General features: G+C 44.5%; 1 protein-coding gene and 1 long non-coding RNA gene across 5 annotated transcripts in view; both read right to left on the bottom strand.

Moving 5' to 3' along the window:
• The window catches only part of SUGT1P4-STRA6LP-CCDC180 (SUGT1P4-STRA6LP-CCDC180 readthrough), a 138,870-nt gene that overhangs the window by 20,297 nt on the left and 106,314 nt on the right, over positions 1-12,259 (bottom strand). For 2 of the 3 annotated variants that reach the window (NR_036527.1, NR_036529.1), the window contains 2 exons: positions 2,286-2,430; positions 1,991-2,107 (listed from right to left, as the gene is read on the bottom strand). This is a non-coding gene — a long non-coding RNA (SUGT1P4-STRA6LP-CCDC180 readthrough). Of the gene's footprint in view, positions 1-1,990; positions 2,108-2,285; positions 2,431-6,443; positions 6,591-7,707; positions 7,889-9,509; positions 9,686-12,259 lie in introns of all 3 variants that reach the window. The other variant, NR_036528.1, reaches the window with a different exon arrangement.
• Positions 1-12,259, bottom strand: part of CCDC180 (coiled-coil domain containing 180) — a 71,415-nt gene that overhangs the window by 21,753 nt on the left and 37,403 nt on the right. Inside the window, exons 20-24 of one of the 2 annotated variants that reach the window (NM_020893.6) lie at positions 9,510-9,685; positions 7,708-7,888; positions 6,444-6,590; positions 2,286-2,430; positions 1,991-2,107 (exon numbers count right to left, since the gene is read on the bottom strand). In NM_020893.6, the coding sequence (NP_065944.3) occupies positions 1,991-2,107; positions 2,286-2,430; positions 6,444-6,590; positions 7,708-7,888; positions 9,510-9,685 (766 nt within the window). Of the gene's footprint in view, positions 1-1,990; positions 2,108-2,285; positions 2,431-6,443; positions 6,591-7,707; positions 7,889-9,509; positions 9,686-11,177; positions 11,394-12,259 lie in introns of those variants that run through there. The other variant, NM_001348010.4, reaches the window with a different exon arrangement.

Below are 12,259 nucleotides of genomic sequence, written 5' to 3'. Positions count from 1 at the left end.
AAAATAGTGTCTTTGCAGAATATTTAAAGATTATACAGCTTATAAAACTGGTATAAATAGCAAACAGCCAATTTTGGCATATCCCCATCTTTTCATGTATAGGAAAAATACTCAAAAAATAAATTGAAATCTTAAACAGGGGTTATGCTATGTGGCAGAATTATGGTTTACTCTCTGTTTTGTATTTGTTCTATATTCCCAGTATTGTCCATGATGGAAATGTATTTTGTTTATCACAGGTGTTAGATATTTTGAAATGCAACCCCTGTACACTGTGAACAGTCCCCAGATATTAGCTCAGAAAAAAGAATCAGTGCCAGCACCAGCTGGAGGCCCATTAGGAATATACTCCTCAAACAAGAGTGTGGTGACATGCCCTGGAGCCGTGGGCTCTGCTCCCTGGAGCTGCCTCCTGCTCCTTCTGGAATGACTGGAAGCCAGTCCTGAGAGGCTCATCTGGGGCCTCCACCAGAGCCTGCCTTTACTGAGGATTCACTATGCTCCAGGGACTATGTCATGAGTTTAGCACATATCAGCTCCTTTATCGGTGCCATAATATTAGGAATTGCTTTTATGATTCCCATTTCACAGATGGATGAATTAAATGCTTCCTGGGGTGAAATGGGCAGGAAGCTGGGTCTGGAGTCCCTATCTCAGAGCGTGAGATGCCAGCAAACACTTCTTTTATCGAACTGCACTTGCCACTCCCAAAAGACAAGTCTGTCCTCACCTCGGCTTGTCCTAGTCCTAGTGGGCCCTCAAACATTGTTCCCTGAATGGGCATTGACCTATGCAGATAACCCAGGCCCTTCATTTCCAGTGTACCCCAAGTCCCTCCCATCCCACTTCCACTCAGCTCTGGAATCAGAATGTGTCCCTGCTGACATTGTGCCCAGGCCATGATTCTCTCCCCATCAGCCTCACACTTCTGCCTCACTCCTACCCACCTCCAGCCTTTCTGTGGTCAGCAGCCAGGACCCCCACCCTCGAAGTGCAGCCCTGAGCACACAGCCCCACCCGAACCCTTCCCAGGCCCCCACTGTCTGCCCGCTGGTGCTCTCCAACCACAGAGCTCCCCACTCTCCCTCACACTCTTGCAGTCCTGGGCTCCAGCCCCCTGGATTTTCTCCATCATCTCTCCAGAATGCTTCACTCCCCACCGCCTACCTGGCTGGTTCCTACTTCTCCCTCAAGCCTCTGGAATCCCCACTTTCTTAGCCCAGGTTAAGTCCTCTGGCCCCTCAATCCCCACGCAGCCACCTTCTCCTTCTGTTGCACAGATGGCCTGTTTGTGGTTAAGGCCATAAGCTCTGGTGTCGGTCAGACCTGGGTTCACATTTTGACTTTACCCTTTAAGAGCTCTGTGTTCCTACCTAAGTCACTAAAATACTGCCTCAGTTTATCTCTAAAATGGAGATAAAAACAGTACTTGCCTCCTATAGTTCTTGTGAGGACTAACACAGCTAATCAAAATAAGTTGCTTAGCAGGATGCATGGTGCTCAATAACTAGTAAACACTAGCAGTTATTAAGATTTTATTTTTGGCCAGGCGCAGTGGCTCATGTCTGTAATGCCAGCACTTTGGGAGGTTGAGGCAGGAGGATCGCTTGAGCCCAGGAATTCAAGATCAGCCTGGGCAACATAGGGAGACCCCATCTCTACAAAAAATAGAAAAAATTGGCTGGGCATGGTGGCGTGTGCCTATAGTCCCAGCTACTTGTGGGACTGAGGCTGGAGGATCTCTTGAGCCCAGGAAGTTGAGGCTACAGTGAGCTGTGTTCACGCCACTGCACTCCAGCCTGAGTGACAAAGCAAGACCCTGTCTCAAAAAAAAGAAAAAAAGAAAAAAAAGATTGTGTCTGTCTTCCTGGCTGGAGAGCAAGTCCCACACACGGGACAGAGACCACAATGGCCTCCTAGCACCGGGGACAGTGCCTGGTGTGCAGGTGTGTGTGATAAAGATCCTTGATGAAGAATGAATCTATCCTACCTGGCACTTGATTTTCACTTGCAGATTCGTCAGCAACCGCTGGATTTTCTCTATGAAAATAAGGTCCACAGACAGGTTATGGAATTTGCTTTCAAACTTGTTGATGACATCATTGGCCTGTACAGAGAGATAAAGGGTAAAGGACAGGGGCTTAATTTGGACCTTTTGGACTCTGAAGGAGGAGGGGGACAGGCCCAGTGAATGGTTGGATGGAGGGCTTGGCCCTCCCTTCAGAGGGAGTTGAGCAAGGGATACTGTGGAACCGGTTGGCCTGGGGCCTGGCTGGGGGCCCTACCTGGTCCAGGTACTCATTCTCCAACTTCTCCATGTTGAGCATGATGACACTTTCAACCAACTCTATCCGGGCAGCTTCCTTCTCCAGTCGGGAACACAGTGAATTGATTTCTTTAGGAGAAAAGTTGCCTCCCTCTGAAAACAATCTGAAAATAATCAAAGACAAATAAAAGCCACAGATCAGACCTAAGAGTTCTCATCTATCCCAAATACTGTGGCTGACACACACTTTTAATCTAGGCTTCCGGTTAGAGTTCAAGATGTGGGAAAATGAACACAGATAGCTTAAGGACAGGAGTAGGATTCATAAATAGTGCAGAATTTCCATTTTTGTCAGTTCATCAGGTTGGAGACTCTAACAGACCCAACTGAAACAAAATTCGAAATAAAAATAGCTTTCTTGGAACTGTATAAAGGTAAGAATTCCACATGAACTTGCCAGGCGCAGTGGCTCATAAGTTTGGGAGGCTGAGGCAGGAAAATCACTTGAGGCCAGGAGTTCAAGATTAGCCTGGGCAGCAGGACCCTGTCTCTAAAAAAGTAAAAAAAATTAGCCAGGTGTGGTGGCATGTGCCTGTGATTCCAACTACTTGGGAGGCTGAGATGGAAGGATTTCTTAAGCCTAGGAGGGAGAGGTTGCAGTGAGCCGAGATTGCGCCACTGCACTCCAGCCTGGCTGACAGAGTAAGATTCTACCTCAAAAAAAAAAAAAAAAAAAAGAATTCCAGATGAAGTGAAACTAGAAGGGGAGCTTGGAATGTGGGCAGCACCAGAAGCCAAGACTTTGCACCAGAGACTTGGAGGTTCAGTCTTGATGACTGCACAGGTGAAGGGATAGCCTAGAGCTGGATCCAGAGGACAACATTTGCATTGTAAGACTGAGGAAGAAACGAACCCCACCAGATACCAGGACTCTTGCCTGTCTAGATCCAAGGGCAAAGAGGAAAGAAGATCTCTGTCCCCTGAAAATTCATCACACAAACTAGACTTCACATACATTTACAAAATGAATTCATGTTCTCTGGAGTGACCCAAAAAACCTCAAGCAGAGAATTCTAATTGGTCCTGGGTAGGTAGTGCTCCCTGGTTACCCAGCAGAAACAAATAAGGATTCTCTCTGAAGGAATGCAATGTCCAGTCCAGGCCTCAAAGAATGCCACCCATAAAGTCCCAAGGAAAATGAGTGACTCGTAGTTTTAAAAATTGATAAGGAATCAAGATACAAGATACCATGCATGAGAAACAGTAAAACAATAGAGAACAGAAACAGACCTCCCAAAAACCATTAGATATTAGAAATATCAGATATAGACTATAAAATAACTAGGCTTAAGATGTTTAAAGGAATAAAAAGTAAGCTTCAAAATATGAACAAGGAGCAGGCAGTTTTGAAAAAGTATCAAATATAATTATAAATGGGCAGAGAGTAGTGGCTCACACCTGTAATCCCAGCACTTTGGGAGGCCGAGGCGGGTGGATCACTTGAGGTCAGGAGTTCAAGACCAGCCTGGCCACTATGGTGAAACCGTGTCTCTACTAAAAATACAAAAATTAGCTGGGCATCGTGGCACATGCCTCTAGTCCCAGCTACTCGGGATGCTGAGGCAGGACAATCGCTCGAACCCAGGAGGTGGAGGTTGCAGTAAGTGGAGACTGTGCCACTGCATTCCAGCCTGGGTGAGAGAGCAAGACTCTGTCTCAAATATATATATACGTATATATGTGTATATATATATATGTATATGTGTGTGTGTATATATATATATATACATACGTATATGTATATATCTACAAATGGAAACTATAATAATTAAAATTGAAAACTCAATGAATAGATTTGCAGAAGGTTCAACACAGTTACAGAGTGAATCAGTGACTAGGAAGAATAATATAAAGAAATTAGCTAGAATGAAGCTAAAATATACAAGACATGCAGAGATAAGCAAGGTAGAGATGATTAACATGTCAAATTATAGTTCTAGTTTTCGCTACTTTCCAAATTTTCTTTTAAAATTCTATTTTTATAATCAGAAAAATCTTAATAATATTTAAAACAAATGCAAGCTTTGCAGATACTGACATGGAAGGTGCCCACTCTTGGGGCTCAGAAAATGAAACCAAAAATGTGCTGCTTTGAACTTCAAACTGAGAGTACCTGGGGAGCAGCAAATGCAGGGAAGAGCTTTCTCTAAAGTTCACCTGTCTACCTAAAGGCTGGATCCTCCAGAAGATATTCAACTGTTGTGAATCCCTTCCCCAGATATCTCATCAACCAGGAGAAACTGATGCATAGTTGTAGGAAGGAAGACTGGAGTTGACACCACACCCAGAGCCCAGACAGAATTGGTCCCAGGCTATTGTCTGTTCTTTGGGTCCATTAATCTCCCCTAAACATCATTTACCCTTCCTCTAAAATTTCCTACATCTCCCATTTCTCACTCTCGTATGAAGAGGCTATTTAAGCTTCAACCACCTGGTCTTTGTTTGAGTTTCAAACTTTGTGTGACACCTACACACTTGCATGTTAATAAATTGGTTTCCCGTTAATCTGTTTATCGTCTTTATTGTTTGTTGTTGTTGTTGTTGTTGTTGTTGTTGTTTTGAGATGGAATCTCACTCTGTCTCCCAGGCTGGAGTGCAGTGGTGTGATCTCAGCTCACGGCAACCTCCGCCTCCCAGGTTCAAGCAATTCTCCTACCTCAGCCTCCCAAGTACCTGGGATTACAGGCATCTGCCACCATGCCCAGCTAATTTTTGTATTTTTAGTAGAGACGGGGTTTCTCCATGTTGGCAAGGCTACTCTCGAACTCCTGACCTCAGGTGATCCGCCCGCCTCAGAATCCCAAAATGCTGGGATTACTGGCATGAACCACTGTGCCTGGCCTTGTTTTATTGGCTCAAATTGTTGAAACTTCAGGGGTGGAAAGGAGGTTCCTTTATTCCCTACATCACCATGATTTGGTGATGCTGGTAGTGGGGGGCTGTGGGTCAGCATGTATACTAGGATTCCATTTCTGTACAAAACTAACAATTTTTTGCTCATGTATACATAAGTACAGGCACATAGAAAATATATTTTTGGAGGGCTTCCACTTTGTACTTTATATACAATCTGTGTTTGATTATGCTCTAATGATCAAAAGATTTGTGATTTTTAAAATAGCATAAGCCTTAAAAAATAAATATAGCCTTTCAAAAATGTCAAAGACTAAATCTAGGATTACTTTCATCCAGGATTAAGATTGCAGGGGTAAAAATAAGGGGAAAGAATGGCCAATAAACACATGGAAAGGTTAACAGCATTAATCGTCAGGGAAATGCAAATCAAAACCACAACATAGAAACACCTCACGCCCATTAACAGGTCTATTATAAAAAACAAAAAACACCAGAAAGTACAAGCGTTGGTGATAATGTAGAGAAACTGGAACCCTTGTGCATTGCTGGTGAGAATGAACATGGCGCAGCTGCTGTGGAAACAGTATGATGGTTCCTCTCAAAGTTAAACATAGAATTACCATTTAATCCAGCAATTCCACTTCTAGGAAATACCCAAAATAACTAAAACCAGGACCTTGAACAGGTATTTGTACACCAATGTTCCTACCACCATTATTCACAATAGCCAAAAGATGGAAACAACCCAAATGCCCATCAAAGATGAATGGGTAAACAAAATGTGATATATACACACAATGGAACATTATTCAGCCTTAAAAAGGAATGATTTTGTGACACATGATACATGATACATGGATGAACCTTGAAGATATTATGCTAAATGAAATGAGCCAGACAAGAAAAGGACAAATATATGATTCCACTTATATGAAGTACCTAGAGGTTTCAAATTCATGGAAACTGAAAGGAGGATGGTGGTTGCCAGGGGCCATGGGGAAGGAGGAATGGGGAGTTCTTGTTTAATGGTACAGAGTTTCAGTTTGGGAAGATGAAAAAGTTCTGGTGACCAGTGGTGGTGATGGTAGCACAACAACCAGGATATCCTTAATGCCACTGATCTGTGCACCTAAAAATGGTTAAGATGTTAAGTTTGATGTTACGTTTATTTTGTCAAAACTAAAAATTAAGGGGGAAACAAGACCACATCCCAATAGAGAAACTCAGGTGGCCTGAAGAGGCCCTGGACACTGGCTCCCACCTGCAGTGTTTGATGAACTCAATATTTGAGTAGCGGAGTTTGCCCAGACTCTCCTCCAAGTACTGCCGGAAGCTGCGCAGGGACACCTGGGTGACATCAACATAGCTAAGCAACTCCTGGTGCAGTGTGTTGCTGAGAGTGACCAGCCTGTGGGAGACAGAGGAGGAACAGGACAGTGATGGGGGACAACCCTGGGGGACAAGGGAGGGGCAGGTGGTGATGGTGATCAGCCTGAGGGACAAGGGAGGGGCCGGTCACGATAATGACCAGCCTGGGGACACAGGAGGGACAGGTGGTGATGGTGAGGATCCTGGGGACATGGGAGGGGCAGGTGGTGATAGGTGACCTTCCTGGGGGCACAACGCTGATGGGTGACCAGTTTGGGGGGCATGAGAGGGGAGGGTGGTGACCTGGGCCTGAAAGGAGGACAACCTGGGAGTCTATTTGGGCTCCACAAGCAGTGCCCAGCTGCACAGCTTCTCTGGGTAGCAAAAGCGGCAGTAGAAGGAAGTTCAAAATTCCAGTGTCTGCAGGACACATTCTGGGTGTGCTGGATCAGAGCACATCAAATTGGTGAAAGAATCCCAGAAGATCCTACTGGATCTTTGTCCCTGCTCCAATGGGCTGTGTCTGACCCCCAGCAAGGTGGCTCCTGCACCCATGATACCCCAAAAGAGTGCCCTGCGAGTGTCCTCTTTACAACCAAGTCCACCAGAAACAGCTGTCCCTCATGTGCCTGATGGCTGCGTAGACACTTGCCAGTCTCCTCCCTGTGACCTGCCTGAGGCCTCCATCTCATAACCCAAATGGCCTCTCTGGAGCCCCTTGCTCTGCCCTGAGCACGCTCCTACACTGAGCTGGGCCAGTGCTCTTTCACTGATTGTGGAATTCAACCCTCTCCCATCTTTCTCCATTCAGGGCTCCTCTGAGTTCATCTTCAATGCTGCCTCCTGCAGGAAGCCCTCCCTGATTTTTCCTGAGGGGAAGTGGTCTTCCCCACCACTGATATTTCATAGCACATGGTGTGCACCCTTGCATGCTGCCTGTGCATATACTTTGCTCTCTGGCTGCTCACTCCCTGCCCTCCCAAGCAATATTCCACACAGAGTTTGACTTGACTCTCTTGAAGAGTTTAACTCAAAAGAAGGCTCTGGAGGTGCCTTCTGCTTTTGTGTCTACAGGGAGGGGGGCTCCTTTGAAAGCAGCAGCCGAACTGGGATTCCAGAGCCACATGGCTGGGGTGGAGACTCCCAGGACCCCTTACTTTTGGCTCCTGGTGGCATTCAAGAAGATGTGCTCCATGTCATAGATCTTAAGGCGGAAGTTTTTGCTCCTCACGTTTTGCTCTTCTTGGAACTGGCAGAACATCAGCCGCTTCTTCTTCAGCGTCTCGGTCACCCCAGCACAGTGGCTGTCCAACTGCTCTTGATGAAGCAAAAGCTCGGCTGAAAAAGGATTAAGAGAGCTGGGGCCCCGGGGACCCGATTCACCTCAGCACATTGCTTTCCTGGAACAAGGCCCGCCTGCTGCCTCTTCCAGGCCAGCTGCAGAACAGGAACAATTCAGGTCAAGGCCCCTTGTCCTGCCCCTGTTGCCTTCATCAGGGCTTGGGCTGGAGAGGAGGCCTGGCCATGAGCAGGGAGCTCCTGTTTGTGGAGACACCCTGCCCGGAGCAGAGGGAACACAGCCAGGAAGATGGAGAGTCTGGGAAGCAGCTGAGTAGCAGGCAGGATGGGCAGGGGGTGTTGGGGAGGGCTGAGATCTAGGTGAGAGGGTCTGGTGGGTAACAGCAAGTACAGCACTGAGCAGTCTGAGTTTGCTCCTTAACATCAGCGGATACTTATGTCCAGTGAGCCTGAATTCCAACTGTCTTCCAAGGTAGAGTGGCAAGAACAAGGACTGGGCTTCCAGAGCTCCATCATGGGCCTTTAAATGAGCAGAGAGTCCCTAGACCCCCCCGACCCCGACCACCTCCCATCTGATCCCACTATCATCTGAAGTTGTGGAAGTGCTGTGGTCTCAGCTCTGCCAAAAATGAATGGTGAGATGCTGGGACTTTGCTTCTCTGGCCTTGTTTTCCACACTGTGTATTGGGTCAGGGGCCGTGGGAAGGAAATGGAGCCAGCCTTCAGGGAGCTTTTACTCAGTGCACATAGAATCCTTTTTATTCCTCAGTGCATTTAGCACACACATTTTCCAGATGAGAACAATGAGGTTCCAAATGCCACACAAGTTGCCTGAGCCCACAAACGCTGGGATTCAAGGCCAGTTGTCAACTTGCACAACTCTTTCCCTGCTCCAGGAATAGGAGTTTGCATGGGTTAGTGATGGGGCTCTCTGATAGCTCTAAAGGGCTTTGAAGGAGTTGGAGTATAATTTGGGTGAAAAACCAACAGAGGTCATTGAAGGATCCTACTGAAAACATGCCCCCCCCCCGCCCCGCATTAACAGAGTCCACCACATAGGTGTGAAATGCATGTATTTTTAAGTATGATAAATGATAAAGTAGAAATAATGGCTACCACTTTTGGAGGCTGTATCTTGTACAAGGTGCTCATGATTCCTTACTATACCATTTTAAAAGGGTTTATCACCACCTCCTTAACACTTCTATCAACCCCTTCTGCAGGTGAGAGAGGAGTCAGAGAGGTCAGGTAAGCTGTATAGGGTCACACGGTCACAGGAGTTGAAACTGAGAGCTTCAACTCCCTGAGCTATGAGCTTGCCTCTAGAACATCCACCATGCAGGTGTGTATCTGACAGGTGTATGAGCAGATCTGGGTTCCAAGAGCTAAAACAGTACAACACTCTTTGTTTTCAACTATAACACCCTCTTGAAAAAAAAATGGAAATGAGAAAAAAATCTCACAGAAGGATTTGGAGTACTACCTTTTTCTGCAAGCCTCAGAGGTGCGAACCCTCATGTACATCTTCCATGGTGTGATGAGAACATGCTAAACATTGCATGGTACAAACTGGGGCAGCTAATGAACATGGAGCCGCGGTGGAGCAGACGCTGAAGGAGTGGCTGCGGGCAGGGCAGACATTCCCAGGCAGCATCTGTACCTGCCCTGACGTTGTGGATGTCTTTTTCAATCTGCTGGGCTCTTGGCTGGTGCAGGTGCAGATGCAGCTCCAGTTCTGAATCCAGCTCATTGATTTTGGTGGCCACGGTGACCCGGGTGTTGAGGGAACACTGGTCAAACCACTTCTCAAGGTGCTCGAAGAAGCCAGCTCGAAGTCTGAGGGCGAGACCAGCCAGGGTCAGCCCTGCCAGCAATCATGACCCATGAGAGGTCTTTCCATATGGAGACCCAAAGTGCTTCCCCCTTTCACTCATTCTTCATTTCATTTCCCAGCTACATTGCATTTCATTGTGTAAATGGACCATTACTCTTTTAACCATACCACTGCTGGAGGACATTATGTATGTCAGATGTAGAATTGTTTCTTTGGATAAATGACCTTGAACTGGAATTGCTGAATCAAAGGTTAAAATACATTTGTGGTTTTGGCAGATATGGCCAAACTGTTTTCCACTAGAAGGCAATTTGTATTCTTATCAGCAATGTTCCTATTTCTCCACAGTCTCAGAGTGTATTGTCAGACGTCTAAATTTGACAATTTTGTTATATTATGATTGAGACTGAGCATATTTTCATGTGCTTAAGATTATTTAGGCTGGGCACTGTGGCTCATGCCTATGATCCCAGCACTTTGGGAGATGGAAGCAGGAGGATTGCTTGAACCTAGGAGTTCGAGACCAGCCTGGGCAACATGGTGAGACCCCCATCTCTATAAAATATTTTAAAAATTAGCTGGTCATGGTGACATGCGCCTATGGTCCCATCTACTCAGGAGGTTAAGGCTGCAGTGAGTCATGCCACTGAACTCCAGCCTGGGCGACAGTGAAACCTTGCCTCAAAAAACCCCAAGAGTATTTAATTTCTCTTTCTGTGTACTGTCCATGAATGTCGTTTGCCCATTTCTCTGTTGTGAATAGCTGTTCTTTTTTTACAAATCAATTTCTAGGAGCTCTTCATATACTAGGGACATGAAGGTCATTGACTTTGATGTGAGTTGCAAATGTTGCTTCTCAGCTTATCATTTCTTCCTTTTAAAAATGTATGGTACTTTTTTGGCCATGTACTGTTAAGATGTCAGTTTCCAAAAACTGATCTATAGATTCAATGCAATAACAAGAAACAACATCGCAGCAGATGTCTTATGGAAACTTGAGCTAATTTTAAAAATTATGTAGAAATACAAAGAGCCAAGAATAATGGAAGGAGAAGACTAAAGGTGGAGGACTTACACTATCAGATATTAAGGCTTAATGTAAAGCTGTAGTAATAAAGCAGCGTGAAGTCATTGGATAGACACATAGAGAACTAGAAAAGACACGTAGCAGAGCAGTGGGGGAGAGGAGAGTCTCCTCATTAAGTGACCCAGGATCAACTGGTTATCTGTATGGGAAAGAAGTGAATCTTGACCCCTATTTCACACCGTAAACAAAAAATCAGTTCCAGGTGGATTTTAGATGTTAATATGGAAGTTGAAAACAATAGCATTTTAAATATATAACTTCGGAGAACATCTCCATGTCCTTGGGGGTAAGGCACAAAGTAAATTAACCCTAATTTAAAAATTGATGAATTGGACCTTATTAGAAATAAGAACTTCTGTTCATTAAAAGATACACCTTGAAAGAGAGTTTAAAAAGGCAAGTGCAGAGAGGGGATGAACATTTGCCATTTATTTATCTGACAAAGCCTTATATAGAATATATAATTTAATTTTTTTTTGAGACGGAGTTTCACTCTGTCTCCCAGTCAGGAGTGCAGCAGCACTCTCTTGGTTCACTGTAACCTCCGCCTCCTGGGTTCAGGCGATTCTCCTGCTTCAGCCTCTTGAGTAGCTGGAATTACAGGCACACACCACCATGCCCGGCTACAGAATATATAATTAATTCCCATAAATTAATAAAAAAAAGACAGAAAATCGACCAGAAAAATAATAGGCAAAAGATTTTGCTAGGCATTTCCCAAAAAGATAACCAAATGGCCCAATGAGTATTTTTAAAGGTATACAATATCATACTCATCAGGAGAATACATATTAAAACCACAATGAAACACCACTATAACTATATCAGAACAGCTAAAATAAAAACCACTGACAATACCACTGACGTTGTGGAGCGATTGAAGTTCTCATATGCTGTTATAAACTGTAAAACTGTTAAAAACCACTTTTGAAAACTCCTTGTAGTATCTTTCGGCTCTATCTCCTAAAGACGGATATGGACACACACACTCTGTGAGTCAACAGTTCCACTCTTAGTTCTATATGTAACAGAAACATATACATATATTCACCAGAAGACTTGTACAAGAATGTTCAGAGCAACATTATTGGTATATCCCCAAATTGGAAAGACCAAATGTGTATCAGTAAAATGGATTAATAAAATGGATAACATTTTTTTATAACGGGATACTATACAGAAATAAAAACTGAACCCTAGCCACATTCAATAATATATATGTCTCATAAACATAATAAAAGAGTGAGTTCTGTATGACTTAATTTAGATAAAGTGAAAAAATAAGCAAAATAAACTCAGAAGTTATAATATTTGTTATCTTTGGGGAAGAGAGAGTGGTGACTTGGGATGGGTACACTTGAGGGCTGGTAATGGTTCTATTTCTTGTGGGCTTTGGGTATCAACTGTGTCATATTTGGGCAATTCGTTGAGCTATACACTTATGATTTTCATACTTTTATGAATGCATGTTATCCTTCAGTATGCAAAC

Source organism: Homo sapiens, chromosome 9 (assembly GCF_000001405.40).
Source record: "Homo sapiens chromosome 9, GRCh38.p14 Primary Assembly".
In the NCBI taxonomy this organism is placed as follows: Eukaryota; Metazoa; Chordata; class Mammalia; order Primates; family Hominidae; genus Homo; species Homo sapiens.
The sequence above is the reverse complement of the archived record's forward strand: the minus strand, read 5'-3'. Positions and strand labels throughout refer to the sequence as shown.